The sequence below is a fragment of the Homo sapiens genome, chromosome 19 (assembly GCF_000001405.40).
Source record: "Homo sapiens chromosome 19, GRCh38.p14 Primary Assembly".
NCBI classification, from domain to species: domain Eukaryota; kingdom Metazoa; phylum Chordata; class Mammalia; order Primates; family Hominidae; genus Homo; species Homo sapiens.
This window is the reverse complement of record NC_000019.10, coordinates 21,540,872-21,557,110: the sequence shown is the minus strand read 5'-3', so window position 1 is coordinate 21,557,110 and position 16,239 is coordinate 21,540,872. Positions and strand designations below refer to the sequence as shown.

At 43.3% G+C, this 16,239-nt stretch overlaps 1 annotated feature.

The window, feature by feature from the left end:
* Positions 4,952-5,733: an enhancer, noted in NCBI's record as "H3K27ac hESC enhancer chr19:21734180-21734961 (GRCh37/hg19 assembly coordinates)". NCBI's record gives its function as "activates a minimal SCP1, AML or CMV promoter by ChIP-STARR-seq in primed H9 embryonic stem cells {active_cell/tissue: H9 hESC(primed)}" and the evidence as "EXISTENCE:reporter gene assay evidence [ECO:0000049][PMID:30033119]".

The following is a 16,239-nucleotide window of genomic DNA, read 5'->3' as shown; positions in this document are numbered from 1 at the left end:
AGTGATTCTCCTGCCTCAGCCTCCCGAGTAGCTGGGACTACAGGCTCCCGCCACCATGCCCGGCTAATTTTTTGCATTTTTGTAGAGACGGGGTTTCATCATGTTAGCCAGGATGGTCTCAATCTCCTGACCTCATGATCCACCCGCCTAGGCCTCCCAAAGTGCTGGGATTACAGGCATGAGCTACCGCGCCAGGCCTAGAGTTGAAGTTTTTTGAACTAATCACTGTTGGTAAAGCCTTTCCCTCCTGCACAATTTTTAAAGGTAGATTTGGCCAGGCATGGTGGCTCATGCATGTAATCCCAGCAATTTGGGAGGCTGAGGCAGGTGGATCACTTGAGATCAGGAGTTCAAGACCAGCCTGGTCAACATGGTGAAACCCCGTCTCTACTAAAAATATAAAAAGTACTTGGGTGTGGTGGCAGACGCTTTTAATCCCAGCTACTTGGGAGGCTGATGCAAGAGGATCCCTTGAACCCGGGAGGCAGAGGTTGCAGTGAGCTGAGATCATGCCACTGCACTCCAGCCTGGGTGACACAGCGAGACTACACCTCAAAAAAAAAAAAAAAAAAAGGTAGTTTTGATCAGTGATTAGTGCTGCCCTGCCAGAAATGTGCAGTTTAAAGACAAGTAAACGAATTGGCTAAAAGCATAACTACTAAGTAGTGAGGTCACAGCAGGATCACTGCTGATTCCATTTTCTCCCTTCGGATATTTTCAAGCCTTCATACTCTGTTTCAATGTAACATTAAGAGCATATAACCCGAAGAACAATTCATTTTTCAGCTGTTTCTAGAAGTTATACTTCATTATTGGAGCAGGGGAAAGCAATTTGAAAAGTGTTATTAATTAGCCAATTTAATCTAAATTTTGCCAGAAACTCTTTAAATTCCAAATATAGGGTCCACTTGCTATGCAAATTTAGATCGTTGTTCTTATTATAATTTAGGCAAAGATGTACAAAAAAAAGATAGCAGCTATTTGGATGAAATAAAAATAAAAGATGATTTGGGGGACAGGGTCAAGAGGGCCAAATAAACATTTCCAGTCTGCAGCTCCCAGCGAGACCCATGCAGAAGACAGGTGATTTCTGCATTTCCAACTGAGGTACCCAGTTCATCCAACTGGGACTGGTTAGGCAGTGGGTACAACCCATGGAGGGCGAGCAGAAGCAGGGTGGGGCATCGCTTCACCCACGAAGTGCAAGGAGCTGGGGGACCTCCCTCCCCCAGCCAAGGGAAGCCGTGAGGAACTGTGCTACCCGGCCAGGTTACTATCCTTTCCCCATGATTTTTGCAATCTGCAGATCAGGGGATTCCCTGGTGTGCCTACACCAGCACAGCCCTGGGTTTCAAGCACAAAACTGGGTGGCTATTTGGGCAGACACCAAGCTAGCTGCAGGAGTTTTGCTTTGTTGTTGTTGTTTGTTTGTTTTGTACCACAGTGGCATCTGGAACCCCAGCAAGACAGAACCCTTTACTCCCCTAGAAAGGGGCTGAAGCCAGGGAGCCACGTGGTCTCGCTCAGCAGGTCCCAATCCCATGAAGCTCAGCAAGCTAAGAACCACTGGCTTGAAATTCTCACTGACAGCACAGCAGTCTGAAGTTGAGTTGGGATGATCGAGCTTGGTGGGGGGAGGGGCATCCCCCATTACTGAGGCTTTAGTAGGCAGTTTTCTAGTGCTAAGGAGGCTGGGAGGATTTGTGGGCTGCCAAAATATGGCCAGACTGCTTCTCTAGATTCCTCCTCGCTGGGCAGGGCATCTCGGATGGAAAGGAGACAGCCCCAGTCAGGGGCTTACAGACAAAATCCCCATCTCCCTGGGACAGAGCACCTGGGGGAAGGGGTTGCTGTGGGCACAGCTTCCATAGATTTAATCCTTCCTGACTGCTGGCTCTGAAGAGAGCAGGTGACCCTGACAAGAGGGATTCTCCCAGCACAGCACGTCAGCTCTGCTAAGGGACAGACTGCCTCCTCACGTTGGTCCCTGACCCCTGTGCCTCCTGACTGGGAGAGACTTCCCAACAGGGGTCGATAGAAACCTCATACAGGAGAGCTCCGGTTGGCATCAGGCTGGTGCCCCTCTGTGATGAAGCTTCCAGAGGAAGGAGCAGGAAGCAATTTTTGCCATTCTACAGCCTCTATTTGTGATTCCCAGGTGAACAGGGTCTGGAGTGGACCTCTAGCAAGCTGCAACAGACCTGCGGAAGAGAGGCCTGTTAGAAGAAAAACTAACAAACAGAAAGCAACAACATCAACATCAACATAAAGGACCACCACACAAAAACCCCATCCAATGTCATCAGCCTCAAAGATCAAAGGTAGATAAGTCCATGAAGATGAGTAAAAACCAGTGCAAAAACACTGAAAATTCAAAAAATGAGAATGCCTCTTCTCCTTCAAATGATCACAACCCCTCTCCAGCAAGGGCACAAAACTGGATGGAGCAGGCTGGGTGCAGTGGCTTAAGCCTGTAATCCCAGAACTTTGGGAGGCCAAGGCTGAGGCAGGTGGATCACTTGAGGTCAGGAGTTCAAGACCAGCCTGACCAAGATGGTAAAACCCTGTCTCTACTAAAATACAAAAATTAGCTGGGTATGGTGGCAGGTGCCTGTAATCCCAGTTAATTGGGAGGCTGAGGCAGGAGAATTGCTTGAACCCAGGTGGCAGAGGATGCAGTAAGCCAAGACTGCACCACTGCAATCCAGCCTGGGCGACAGAGCGAGACTCTGTCTCAAAAAAACAAACAAACAAAAACTGGACGGAGAATGAGATTGACGAATTGACAGAAGTAGGCTTCAAAAGGTGGGTAATAACAAACTCCTCTGAGCTAAAGGAGCATGCTCTAACTCAATGCAAGGAAGCTAAGAACCTTGACAAAAGGTTAGAGGAATTGCTAACTAGAATAATCAGTTTAGACAGGAACATAAATGACCTGATGGAGCTGAAAAACACAGCATGAGAACTCTGCGAAGCATACACAAGTATCAATAGCCAAATCAATCACGCGAAAGAAAGGATATGAGACTGGAGATTAACTCAATAGAATAAGTCGTGAAGACAACATTAGAGAAAAAATAACAAAAAGGAATGAACAAAGCCTCCAAGAAAGATGGGAGTATGTAAAAAAACCAAACCTATGATTGATTGGTGTACCTGAAAGTGATGTGGATATTATCCAGAAGTTCCCCAACCTAGAAAGACAAGCCAACGTTCAAATTCAGGAAATAAAAAGAACACCACTAAGACACTCCTCGAGAAGAGCAACCCCAAGACACAAAATCATCAGATTCTCCAAGGTTGAAATGAAGGAAAAAATGTTAAGGGCAGCCAGAGAGAAAGGCCAGGTTACCTACAAAGGGAAGTCTATCAGACTAACAGCAGAACACTCTGTAGAAACACTAAAAGACAGAAGAGAGTAGGAGCCAATATTCAATATTCTTTTTTGTTTGTTTGAGACAGAGTTTTGATTATTGCTCAGGCTGGGGTGCAATGGCACGATCTTGGCTCACCATAACCTCCAACTCCTGGGTTCAAGCGATTCTCCTGCCTCAGCTTCACGAGTAGCTGAAATTACAGGTGCACGCCACCACGCCCGGTTTTTGGGCTCACGCCTGTAATCCCAGCACTTTGGGAGGCCAAGGAGGGTGGATCACCTGAGATTGGGAGTTCAAGACCAACCTGGCCAACATGGTGAAATCCTATCTCTACTAAAAATACAAAAATCAGCCAGGCATGGTGGCAGGCACCTATAATCCCACCTATTCTGGAGGCTGAGGCAGGATAATCACTTGAACCTGACAGGCAGGGGTTGCAGTGAGCCAAGATCATGCCACTGCACTCCAGCCTGGGCAACAGAGCGAGACTCCATCTCAAAAAAAAAAAAAAAAAAAAAAGCAAAAGAATTTTCAACCCAGAATTTCATATCCAGCCAAACTAAGCTTCGTATGCAAAGGAGAAAGAAAATCCTTTACAGACGAGCAAATGCTGAGGGATTTTGTCACCACCAGGCCTCCCTTAGAAGAGGTCCTGAAGGAAGCACTAAATATGGAAAGGAAAAACCAGTACCAGCCACTGCAAAAACACATCGAACTATAAAGTCCAATGACACTATGAAGAAACTGCATCAACTAATGTGCAATATAACCAGTTAGCATCATGATGACAGGATCAAATTCACGCATAACAATATTAATTTTATATGTAAATAGGCTAAATGCCCCAATTAAAAGACACAGACTGGCAAATTGGATAAAGGGTCAAGACTGTGCTGTATGCAGGAGACCTATCTCACATGCAGAGAGACACATAGGCTCAAAATAAAGGGATGGAGGAATATTTACTTACCAAGCAAACGGAAAGAAAAAAAAAAAAGCAGGGATTGCAGTCCTAGTCTCTGATAAAACAGACTTTAAACCAACAAAGATCAAAAAAGACAAAGAAGGGCATTACATAATGGTAAAGGGATCAATGCAACAAGAAGAGCTAACTATCCTTAATATATATGCAGCCAATACAGGAGCCCCCAGATTGATAAAACAAGTTCTTAGTAACTTACAAAGAAACTTAGATGCCCACACAATAATAGTGGGAGACTTTAACACCCCAGTGTCAATATTAGACAGATAACAAGACCGAAAATTAGCAAGGATATTCAGGACTTCAACTCAGCTCTGGACCAAACGAACCTAATAGACATCTCCAGAACTCTCCACCCCAAATCAACAGAATATACATTCTTCTCAGTGCCACATAGCACTTATTCTGAAATCAACCACATAATTGGAAGTAAAACACTCCTCAGCAAATGCAAAAGAACTGAAATCATAACAAACAGTCTATCAGATGACAGTGCAATCAAATTAGAACTCAGGATTAAGAAATTCACTCCAAACTGCACAACTACATGGAAATTGAACAATCTGCTGCTGAATGACTACTGGGTAAATAATAAAATTAAGGCAGAAATACGAGTGCCTGCGATTGCAGGCGCACGCCGCCGTGCCTGACTGGTTTTCGTATTTTTTTTGGTGGATACGGGGTTTCGCTGTGTTGGCTGGGCTGGTCTCCAGCTCCTAACCGCGAGTGATCCACCAGCCTCAGCCCCCCGAGGTGCCGGGATTGCAGACGGAGTCTCGTTCACTCAGTGCTCAATGGTGCCCAGGCTGGAGTGCAGTGGCATGATCTCGGCTCGCTACAACCTCCACCTCCCAGCTGCCTGCCTTGGCCTCCCAAAGTGCCGAGATTGCAGCCTCTGCCCGGCCGCCACCCCTTCTGGGAAGTGAGGAGCGTCTCTTCCTGGCCACCCATCGTCTGGGATGTGAGGAGCCCCTCTGCCTGGCTGCCCAGCCTGGGAAGTGAGGAACGCCTCTTCCCGGCTGCCATCCCATCTAGGAAGTGAGGAGCGTCTCTGCCCGGCCGCCCATCGTCTGAGATGTGGGGAGCGCCTCTGCCCCGCCGCCCCATCTGGGATGTGAGGAGCGCCTCTGCCCGGCCACGACCCCGTCTGGGAGGTGAGGAGCGTCTCTGCCTGGCCGCCCCGTCTGAGAAGTGAGGAGCCCCTCCGCCCAGCAGCCGCCCCGTCTGAGAAGTGAGGAGCCCCTCCGCCCGGCAGCCACCCCGTCTGGGAAGTGAGGAGCGTCTCTGCCTGGCAGCCACCCCATCCGGGAGGGAGGTGGGGGTCAGCCCCCGCCCGGCCAGCCGCCCCATCCGGGAGGGAGGTGGGGGGCCAGCCCCCGCCCGGCCAGCCACCCCTTCCGGGAGGGAGGTGGGGGGCCAGCCCCCGCCCAGCCAGCCGCCCCGTCCGGGAGGGAGGTGGGGGGTCAGCCCCCGCCCGGCCAGCCACCCCGTCCGGGAGGTGGGGGGCGCCTCTGCCCGGTCGCCCCTTCTGGGAAGTGAGGAGCCCCTCTGCCCGGCCACCACCCCATCTGGGATGTGTACCCAACAGCTCATTGAGAACGGGTCATGATGACAATGGCGGTTTTGTGGAATAGAAAAGGGGGAAAGGTGGGGAAAAGATTGAGAAATCGGATGGTTGTTGTGTCTGTGTAGAAAGAAATAGACATGGAAGACTTTTCATTTTGTTCTGTACTAAGAAAAATTCTTCTGCCTTGGGATCCTGTTGATCTATGACCTTACCGCCAACCCTGTGCTCTCTGAAACATGTGCTGTGTCCACTCAAGGTTAAATGGATTAAGGGCGGTGCAAGATGTGCTTTGTTAAACAGATGCTTGAAGGCAGCATGCTCGTTAAGAGTCATCACCACTCCCTAATCTCAAGTACCCAGGGACACAAACACTGCGGAAGGCCGCAGGGTCCTCTGCCTAGGAAAACCAGAGACCTTTGTTCACTTGTTTATCTGCTGACCTTCCCTCCACTATTGTCCTATGACCCTGCCAAATCTCCCTCTGTGAGAAACACCCAAGAATGATCAATAAAAAAAAAAAAAAAGAAAAAGAAAAAATTAAGGCAGAAATAAAGAAGTTCCTTGAAAGCAATGAGAACAAAGAGACAAAGTACCAGAATCTCTGGAACACAGCTAAAGCAGTGTTAAGCGGAAAATTATTGCACCAAATGCCCACATCAGAAAGCTGAAAGGATCTAAAATCAACACCCTAACATCACAATTAAAAGAACTATAGAAGCAAGAACAAACAAATTCAAAAGCTAGCAGAACACAAGAAATAACTAAGATTAGAGTAGAACTGAAGGAGATAGAGACACAAAAAACCCTTCAAAAAATCAATGAATCCAGGAGCTGTTTTTTGAAAACATAGACAAAATACATAGACTGCCAGCTAGACTAATAAAGAAAAGAGAGAAGAATCAAATAGACACAATAAAAATGATAAATAGGATATCACCACTGATCTGACAGAAATACAAACTACCAACAGAGAATACTATAAACACCTCTTTGCAAATAAACTAGAAAATTTAGAAAAAAATGGATAAATTCCTGGACACATACACACACCCTCCCAAGACTAAACCAGGAAGAAGTCAAATCCCTGAATAGACCAATAACAAGTTCTGAAATTGAGGCAGTAATTAATAGCCTACCAACCAAAAAAAGCCCAGGACCACATGGATTCACAGCCAAATTCTATCAGAGATACAAAGAGGAGCTGGTATCATTCCTTCTGAAACTATTCCAAACAATGGAAGAAGAGGGACTCCTTCCTAACTCATTTTATGAGGCCAGCATCATCCTGATTCCAAAACCTGGCAGAGACACAACAGAAAAAGAAAATTTCAGGCCAATATCCCTGAATAATATTGAAGTGAAAATCCTCAATAAAATACTGGCAAACCAATTCCAGCAGCGCATCAAAAAGCTTATCCACCACGACCAAGTCGGCTTCATCCTTGGGATGCAAGGCTGGTTCAACATATGCAAATCAATAAAATAATCCACCACATAAACAGAACCAATGACAAAAAACACATGATTATCTCAATAGATGCAGAAAAGACTGTTGATAAAATTCAACACCCCTTCATGCTAAAAACTCTCAATAAACTAGGTATTGATGGAACATATCTCAAAATAATAGAGCTATTTATGACAAATCCATAGCCAATATCATACTGAATGGACAAAAGGTGGAAGCATTCACTTTGAAAACTGGCACAAGACAAGGATGCCATCTCCCACAACTCTTTTGTTTTTTGAGACGGAGTTTCACTCGTTTCCCAGGCTAGAGTGCAATGGCATGATCTCGGCTCACCACAACCTCTGCCTCCTGGGTGCAAGTGATTCTCCTGCCTCAGCCTCCGGAGTAGCTGGGATTACAGGCGTATGACAACATGCCTGGATAATTTTGTATTTTTAGTAGAGACAGAGTTTCTCCATGTTGGTCAGGCTGGTCTTGCACTCTCAATCTCAGGTGATCCACCCGCCTTGGCCTCCCCAAATGCTGGGATTACATGAGTGAGCCACTGCACCTGGCTCCTCCACTCTTATTCAACATAGTATTGGAAGTTTTGGCCAGGGCAATCAGGCAAGAGAAATAAATAAGGGGTATTCAAATAGGAAGAGAGGAAGTAAACTTGTCTCTGTTTGCAGATGACATGATTGTATATTTAGAAAACCCCATCGTCTCCACCCAAAAGCTCCTTGAGCTGATAAGTAACTTCAGGAAAATCTCAGGATACAAAATCAATGTGTAAAAATCACAAGCATTTGGCTGGTCATGGTGGCTCATGCCTGTAATCCCAGCACTTTGGAAGGCTGAGGCAGGTGGATCATCTGAGGTCCACCTACTCGGGAGGCTGAGGCAACAGAATCGCTTTAACCCAGGAGGCAGAGGTTGCAGTGAGCCAAGATCATGCCACTGCACTACAGCCTGGGTAACAGAGTGAGACTCTGTCTCAAAAAAAAAAAAAAAAAAAAAAAAATCACAAGCATTTCTATACACCAGCAATACACAAGCAGAGGGCCAAATCATGAGTGAACTCCTATTCACAATTGCTACAAAGAGAATAAAATACCTAGGAATACAACTTACAAGGGATGTGAAGGACCTCTTCAAGAAGAACTACAAAACACTGCTCATGGAAATAAGAGAGGACACAAACAAATGGGAAAAAATTCCATGCTCATGGATAGGAATAATCAATATCATGAAAATGGCCATACTGCCCAAAGTAATTTATGACTCAATGCTATTCCCATCAAGCTACCATTGACTTTCTTCACAGAATTAGAAAAAAACTACTTTAAATTTCATATGGAACCAAAAAAAGAATCTGTATAGTCAAGACAATTTTATGCAGAAAGAACAAAGCTGGAGTCATCACGTCACCTGACTTCAAACTATACTACAAGGATACAGTAACCAAAACAGCATGGTACTGTTACCAAAACAGATATATAGACCAATGGAACAGAACAGAGACCTCAGAAATAACACCACACATCTATAACCATCTTATCTGCCACAAACTTGACAAAAACAAGCAATGGGGAAAGGATTCCCTTTTTAATAAATGGTGCTGGGAAAGCTGGCTAGCCATATGCAGAAAACAGAAACTGTACCCCTTCCTTATAACTTATACAAAAATATACTCAAGAAAAATTAAAGACTTAAATGTAAAACCCCAAACCACAAAAACACTAGAAGAAAATCTAGGTAGTACCATTCAGGATATAGGTATGGGCAAAGACTTCATTACTAAAACACAAAAGCAACTGCAACAAATGCCAAAATTGACAAATGGGATCTAATCAAACTAAAGAGCTTCTGCACAGCAAAAGAAACTATCACCAGGGTGAACAGGCAACCTACAGAATGGGAGAAAAATTTTGCAAGATACTCATCTGACAAAGGTCTAATATCCAGAATATACAAGGAACTTAAAAAAATTTATAAGAAAAAAACAACCCCATCAAAAAGTGGGCAAAGGATATAAAGAGACATTTCTCAAAAGACATTTATGTGGCCAAAAAACGTATGAAAAAAAGTTCATCATCACTAGTCGTTAGAGAAATGCAAATCAAACCACAATGAGATACTATCTCATGCCAGTTAGAATGGCAATTATTAAAAAGTCAGGAAACAACAGATGCTCGTGAGGCTGTGGAGAAATGCTTTTACACTGTTGGTAGGACTGTAAATTAGTTCAACCATTGTGGAAGACAATGTGGCAATCCTTAAGAATCTAGAACCAGAAATACCATTCGACCAAGCAATCCCATTACTGGGTATGTACCCAAAGGATTATAAATCATTATACTATAAACACACATGCACACATGTTTATTGCAGAACTCTTTACAGTAGCAAAGACTTGGAACCAACCCAAATGTCCATCAATGATAGACTGGATAAGAAAATGTGGCACATATACACCACAGAATACTATGCAGCCATAAAAAAGAATGAGTTCATGTCCTTTGCAGGGGCATGGATGAAATTGGAAGCCATAATTCTCAGCAAACTAACACAGGAACAGAAAATCAAACACCACATTTTCTCACTCATAAGTGGGAACTGAACGACGAGAACACATGGAGACAGGAAGGGGAACATCACATACTGGGGCCTGTCAGGGTGTGGGGGGCAATGGGAGGGAGAGCATTAGGACAAATACCTAATTCATGTGGGGCTTAAAACCTAGATGATGTGTTGATAGGTGCAGCAAACCACCATGGCACATGTATACATATGTAACAAACCTACATGTTTTGCACATGTATCACAGAAATTAAAAAATTTAAATTTAAAAACATAAAAAATAAAATCATCTATATATTTATATATATATATATTTATATATGTATATACACCACGATTTGAACCCCGTTGAAGACCAATTTTACACAAAAGTCCCCTAATTAACATTGTTTCTAGGATATAAAAACTTGTGCATACATTGAGGACATTTTGCAGAAACAAAAATCCTTACAAAACTCTGTTAATTCCAATATTACAGTTTGAAATTAGCCTGTGCTGACAATAACTTAAGTAAACAAAATTTCCAAACTTAGTAATAAAAGTAATTTAAAAAAACTGAAGCAAAGATAATTGTTATAAAGACAGTACCATGTATCCTACATAATAGAGTATTTCTAGTTGTAGTTTTTTTGTTTTGTTTTTTTTTTTGAGACAGAGTCTCACTCTGTCTCCCAGGCTGCAGTGCAGTGGTGCTATCTTGGCTCACTGCAACCTCCACCTCCCGGGTTTAAGCAGTTCTCCTGCCTCAGCCTCTCAAGTAGCTGGGACTACAGGCGCATGCCACCATGCCTGGCTAATTTTTATATTTTTAGTAGAGCTGTGGTTTCACTCTGTTGGTCCAGCTGGTCTCAAACTCCTGACCGCAGGTGATCCACCCGACTCAGCCTCCCAAAGTGTTAAGATAACAAATGTGAACCACCGCACCTGTCCTGTATACTTCTTTAATTTGAAAACTGTCAAAGATGTCTACACTCAAAGAAAAATCTGGAATAGTCTTCATATTCTCTATCCAAGGCTTCTTTGAAGAGCTCAACAATAGGATGTGTGTTGCCTTCCATTTATATAGCAAAGAGGGAAGCAAAAAAAAATGGCAAAAAGTAGAATATTCAGAAGAATATTGAAATATTAAAACGAACTAGGAAACTTTTCAGAAATAATTTGGGTTTTTGCCTACTTGATGTCACAACTTACCTGATTAATATTTTCTGTGTGTCTGTGTGTGCGTCCATATGACTGAGTTCTTATAGCCTTAGTACCCTTTTAAATTGACAAATGGTCAATTTAAAATTCCTTAAATTGCATTCAGGAAATAAAATTCCTTAAATTGCATTCAGGAAAATAAAAAAATTTAGGCTTGGAGGCTGAGCGTGGTGGCTCATGCCTGTAATCCCAGCACTTTGGGAGGTGGAGGTGGGCAGATCACTTTAGGTCAGGAGTTCAAAACCAGCCTGGCAAACATGGTGAAACCCATTTCTACTAAAAATCCAAAAAATAGCCAGGCATGGTAGCTCACACCTGTAGTCACAGCTACTCGGGAGGCTGAGGCAGGAGAATTGCTTGAACCCTGGAGGCAGAGGTTGCAGTGAGCCAAGATTGCACCACTGCACTCCAGCCTGGGCAACAGAGCTAGACTCCATCTCAAAAAAAAAAAAAAAAAAAAAGGCTTAGAGGCTTTAATTCGCTTAATATTTCCAGGATCTGCATAATGCGCCTCACAAAATATTCCAGGAAAACATTTTTATTAGAATCTACTAAAATTTCTAAATAGATTCCTTAGAGATTGGATTTTGATTAAGAAATATTTGCCGGGCATGTTGGCTCACGCCTGTAATCCCAGCACTTTGGGAGGCCGAGGTGGGCGGATCAGGAGGTCAGGAGATGGAGACCACCGTGAAACCCCGTCTCTACTAAAAAAAAAATACAAAAAAATTAGCCGGGCACGGTGGCAGGCGCTTGTAGTCCCAGCTAGTCGGGAGGCTGAGGCAGGAGAATGGCGTGAACCTGAGAGGCGGAGCTTGCAGTGAGCCGAGATTGCGCCACTGCACTCCAGCCTGGGCGACAGAGTGAGACTCCATCTCAAAAAAACAACAAAAAAACAAAAAACAAGAAATATTTAATACTCTAGGTAGATACCTGAAATACTGTAAAACTCAATACATTCATTCTTCCAGAGTGTTCCTAGCATTTATAAGATGTCCAGAATAATATTTGTAGAAAATAAGCCTAAATGTATTTAGAAATGTATGTAGAAAATTATGGTATTTTGCTAAGCAGGTATATTCAGGATAAATGCATTACAAAATTCTTGCTGGGCACAGTGGCTCATGCCTGTAATCCCAGCACTTTGGGAGGCCAAGGCGGGCAGGTCACTTGAGGTCAGGAGTTTGAGACATGTCTGGCCAACATGGTGAAACTCCATCTCTACTAAATATACACAAATAAGCTGGGTGTGGTAGCGCATGCCTGTAATCCCAGCTACTCAGAAAGCTGAGGTAGGAGAATCACTTGAACCCAGGAGATGAAGGCTGCATTGAGCCAAGGTTGCACCACTGCACTCCAGTCTGGGTGACAGTGAGAGTCTCAAAAAAACAAACAAACAAAAAAAAACTATGAATTTGTTTTAAACTATATGGTGAAATCGACTCCTAATTTTTATCTTTTTTTTTGAGATGGAGTTTCACTCTTGTTGCTCAGGCTGGAGTGCAATGGCATGATCTCCACTCACCACAACCTCTGCCTCCCGGGTTCAAGCGATTCTCCTGCCTCAGCCTCCCGAGTGACTGGCATTACAGGCATGAGCCACTACACCCAGCTAATTTTTGTATTTTTAGTAAAGACGGGGTTTCTCTGTCAGGCTGCTCTTGAAATCCCAATCTCAGGTGATACTCCCACCTCGGCCTCCCAAAGTGCTGGGATTATAGACATGAGGCATTGCGCCTGGCCTAATTTTTACTTTTTAGATACATAAACTAGTCGACACATAAACTATTTTAAATTTGTTCCCCTCTTTATTAGTCCTTTGTTATGTTTGGTACTAGAACATCCAGTTTCACAGCATCTGCTGCTTCAGGGGATCTCAATTTGCTCATTCATTCATTCATTCAGAGAAGTTTTGCTCGTCGCCCAGTTTGGAGGGCAATGGAGTGATCTCAGCTCACTGCAACCTCCTCCTCCCAGGTTCAAACAATTCACCTGCCTCAGCCTCCCAAGTAGCTGGGATTACAGGCATGCGCCACCACACCCAGCTAATTTTTGTATTTTTAGTAGAGACGGGGTTTCACCATGCTGACCAGGCTGGTCTTGGACTCCTGACTTCAGGTGATCCACCCACCTCGGCCTCCCAAAGTGCTGGGAGGCCTGAGCCACCGTGCCTGGCCGCAGTTTTTTATACAGCCTAGTTCTTCTCCCCCTCTCAGTTTTTAAATCATTCTTTCTCCATTTGAACCTAAACCATATAAGCTCTACAAATTACCCTTCAATACTAACATACACTTGAGAACCACTTTTCTGTCAACTTCCCTTCCCCATCCCTCTAGTAATTTGGAATACTAATAGCGTAATTTTTACCTAAAACTGTAGTCAGTAAACGCTGCAAAGTGGTTAACTATCGTTCACTGCAGATCCAAGCAGTATACATTGATTTTATCAACTAGTTAATACAAATTTCTTTAACAATTATTGCAGTCCATATTAGTTTGATTTTATGTCTAATGCTAAGTCTTGCTGAAATACCTCCTCTTAACTTACACTTGCCCTAAAATATTTTTCATTTGTTTAAAAAACTTTAAATTATCTCTGGGTTACATTTTTTTCCCTGCAGATGTCTCTCCTGCTGATCACCTTCCTCCTCCTCTAATTTGCTGTCTCTCTGGACAATGTGAAGTTTGACCTGAGCTCCCCTCCTCACACCCTGTATGCATGTTCTGTCTCTGGGTCTTCTGCTGTTGTGTTCCGCTGTCGTTTTGCTTGCTGACTCCACAGAGAGTTTGTGTCCTGGTGTCCACAAAGAGTGCACGTCAAGGTCAGGAGCTCGAGACCAGCCTGACCAACATAGTGAAACCCATCTCTACAAAAAATACAAAAATTAGCTGGGTGTGGTGGTGAGCACCTGTAATCCCAGCTACTCAGGAGGCTGAGGCAGGAGAATTGTTGAACTGGGGAGGTGGAGGATGCAGTGAGCCAAGATCATGCCACTGAACTCCAGCCTCGGCAATACAGCGAGACTCCATCTCAAAAGGGGAAAAAAAAAAATATAACTTCAAAGATGGTTCCTGGCCAGGTATGGTAGCTCACGCATGTAATCCTAGCACTTTCAGAAGACAAGGTGGGTGGATCACTTGGGGTCAGGAGTTCAAGATCGGCCTGGCCAACATGGTGAAACCCCATCTCTACTAAAAATACAAAAATTAGGTGGATGTGATGGCGCAGGCCCATAATCCCAGCTACTTGGGAGGCTGAAACAGGAGAAGCACTTGAACCCAGGAGGTGAAGGTTGCAGTGAGCCAAGATATTGCCAGTGCACTCCAGCCTGGGCAACAGAGCAAGACTTCATCTCAAAAAAACAAAAACAAAGAAACAAACAAACAAAAAAATGGAATACAAAATGAGTTTCTAACAAAATTGATATTTACCACACTTTGTGTAAGAATCTAATAGATTTTTCCAGCCAGGCACAGTGACTCAATCCTGCAATCCCAGCACTTTGGGAGGCTGAGGCGGGCAGATCATCTGAGGTCAGGAGTTCTAGACCAGCCTGGCCAACAGGCTGAAACCCCATCTCTACTAAAATACAGAAATTAACCAGGCGTGGTTGCGGGTGCTTGTAATCCCAGCTATTCAGGAGATTGCGGCAACATAGGAGGCAGAGGTTGCAGTGAGTCAAGACTGCATCACTGCACTCCAGCCTGGGTGACAAGAGCAAGACTCCATCTCAAAAAAATAAAATACATAAAGATTTTTCTTTTACAGACAAACAATGCTAAGTGATGTAATTCTCTCACCCAGGAAAAACGTGTGCCTCTTATTTTATCAATCCAAAAGTTATATTGATAAGCAAATTCCCCAGTTAAAACCACTTTTTCAGTGCATTAAAAAATAAACTTTCAGCCAGGTGTGGTGGCTCACTCCTGCAATCCCAACACTTTGGGAGGCCAAGTCACTTTGCGCGAATCACATGAGGTCGGGAGTTTGAGACTAGCCAGACCAACATGGAGAAACCCCGTCTCTACTAAAAATACAAAATTAGCCAGGCGTGGTGGTGCATACCTGTAATCCCAACTACTGAGGAAGCTGAGGCAGGAGAATCGCTTGAACCCGGTAGGGGGAAGTTGTAGTGAGCAGAGATCGTGCCACTGCACTCCAGCCTGGGCAACAAGAGCGAAACTCCATCTCAAACAAAACAAAACAAAACAAAACTTTCTCATTAGAACCTTCAAAGTACCATGTGAAATGAAGACAACAGTGAGAAAACTGTTGCCATAACACAGTAAAAGAAGTACTGTAGTTCATTGTAATGCATACAACCTTGGAATACACATAAGACAAACAAAACAGGATAAGAAACAAGAGAAGCAAAATTTCTCTTTAAATTCATTAAGAGTCAGCTTTGCAGCCTGGACAAAAATGCCTTCGCCACATGAAGATTTCTTCACCATGGATATTTTTCATCTCTGACTTGAAAATACAAACTAACTCCAGCAGGAATATTTATGGCTTATTATGGAGCGTCTGTGACACAGGAGGAACTTTCATATTTGTTTGCTACATTTATATATAAAAACATCCTCATGACTTATGAAGTCTCCCTAGTACTTACCTGAACAAATTGACTCAATTAATAAATTTACTTGTCACTTATAAAAGTGAAAAGAAGCAATAATTTTTAAAAAATGCTTATATAGGGTTCTCCAGTTAATAAAATGGAATGCCCTAACTAAATAAAATGTAAATACACTATTTTAAAATTATATCTAAAAATTATCTTGTGTGCATTACTCAATTTTATAAAATTTATTATAATCTCTGACCAGCTCACATAATGAATACTTCATAAACTATACAACAAAAAATATATAAAACACACAAAAAAATTAAGGGCCTAGCATGAGTACCAGGCAAATAAATACAGAGAATTTGCATGGGGAGATTCTGAACTATAGCCATAAAATTTTACAGTAATAAATTCAATAAAAAGAGAGTATAGATTTGCTTTCAGCATTTTTGAGGTTTTTTGTTTTCTAGTATATTAGCAACCTTAATAAAATGATTCTTTTTGTTCCAA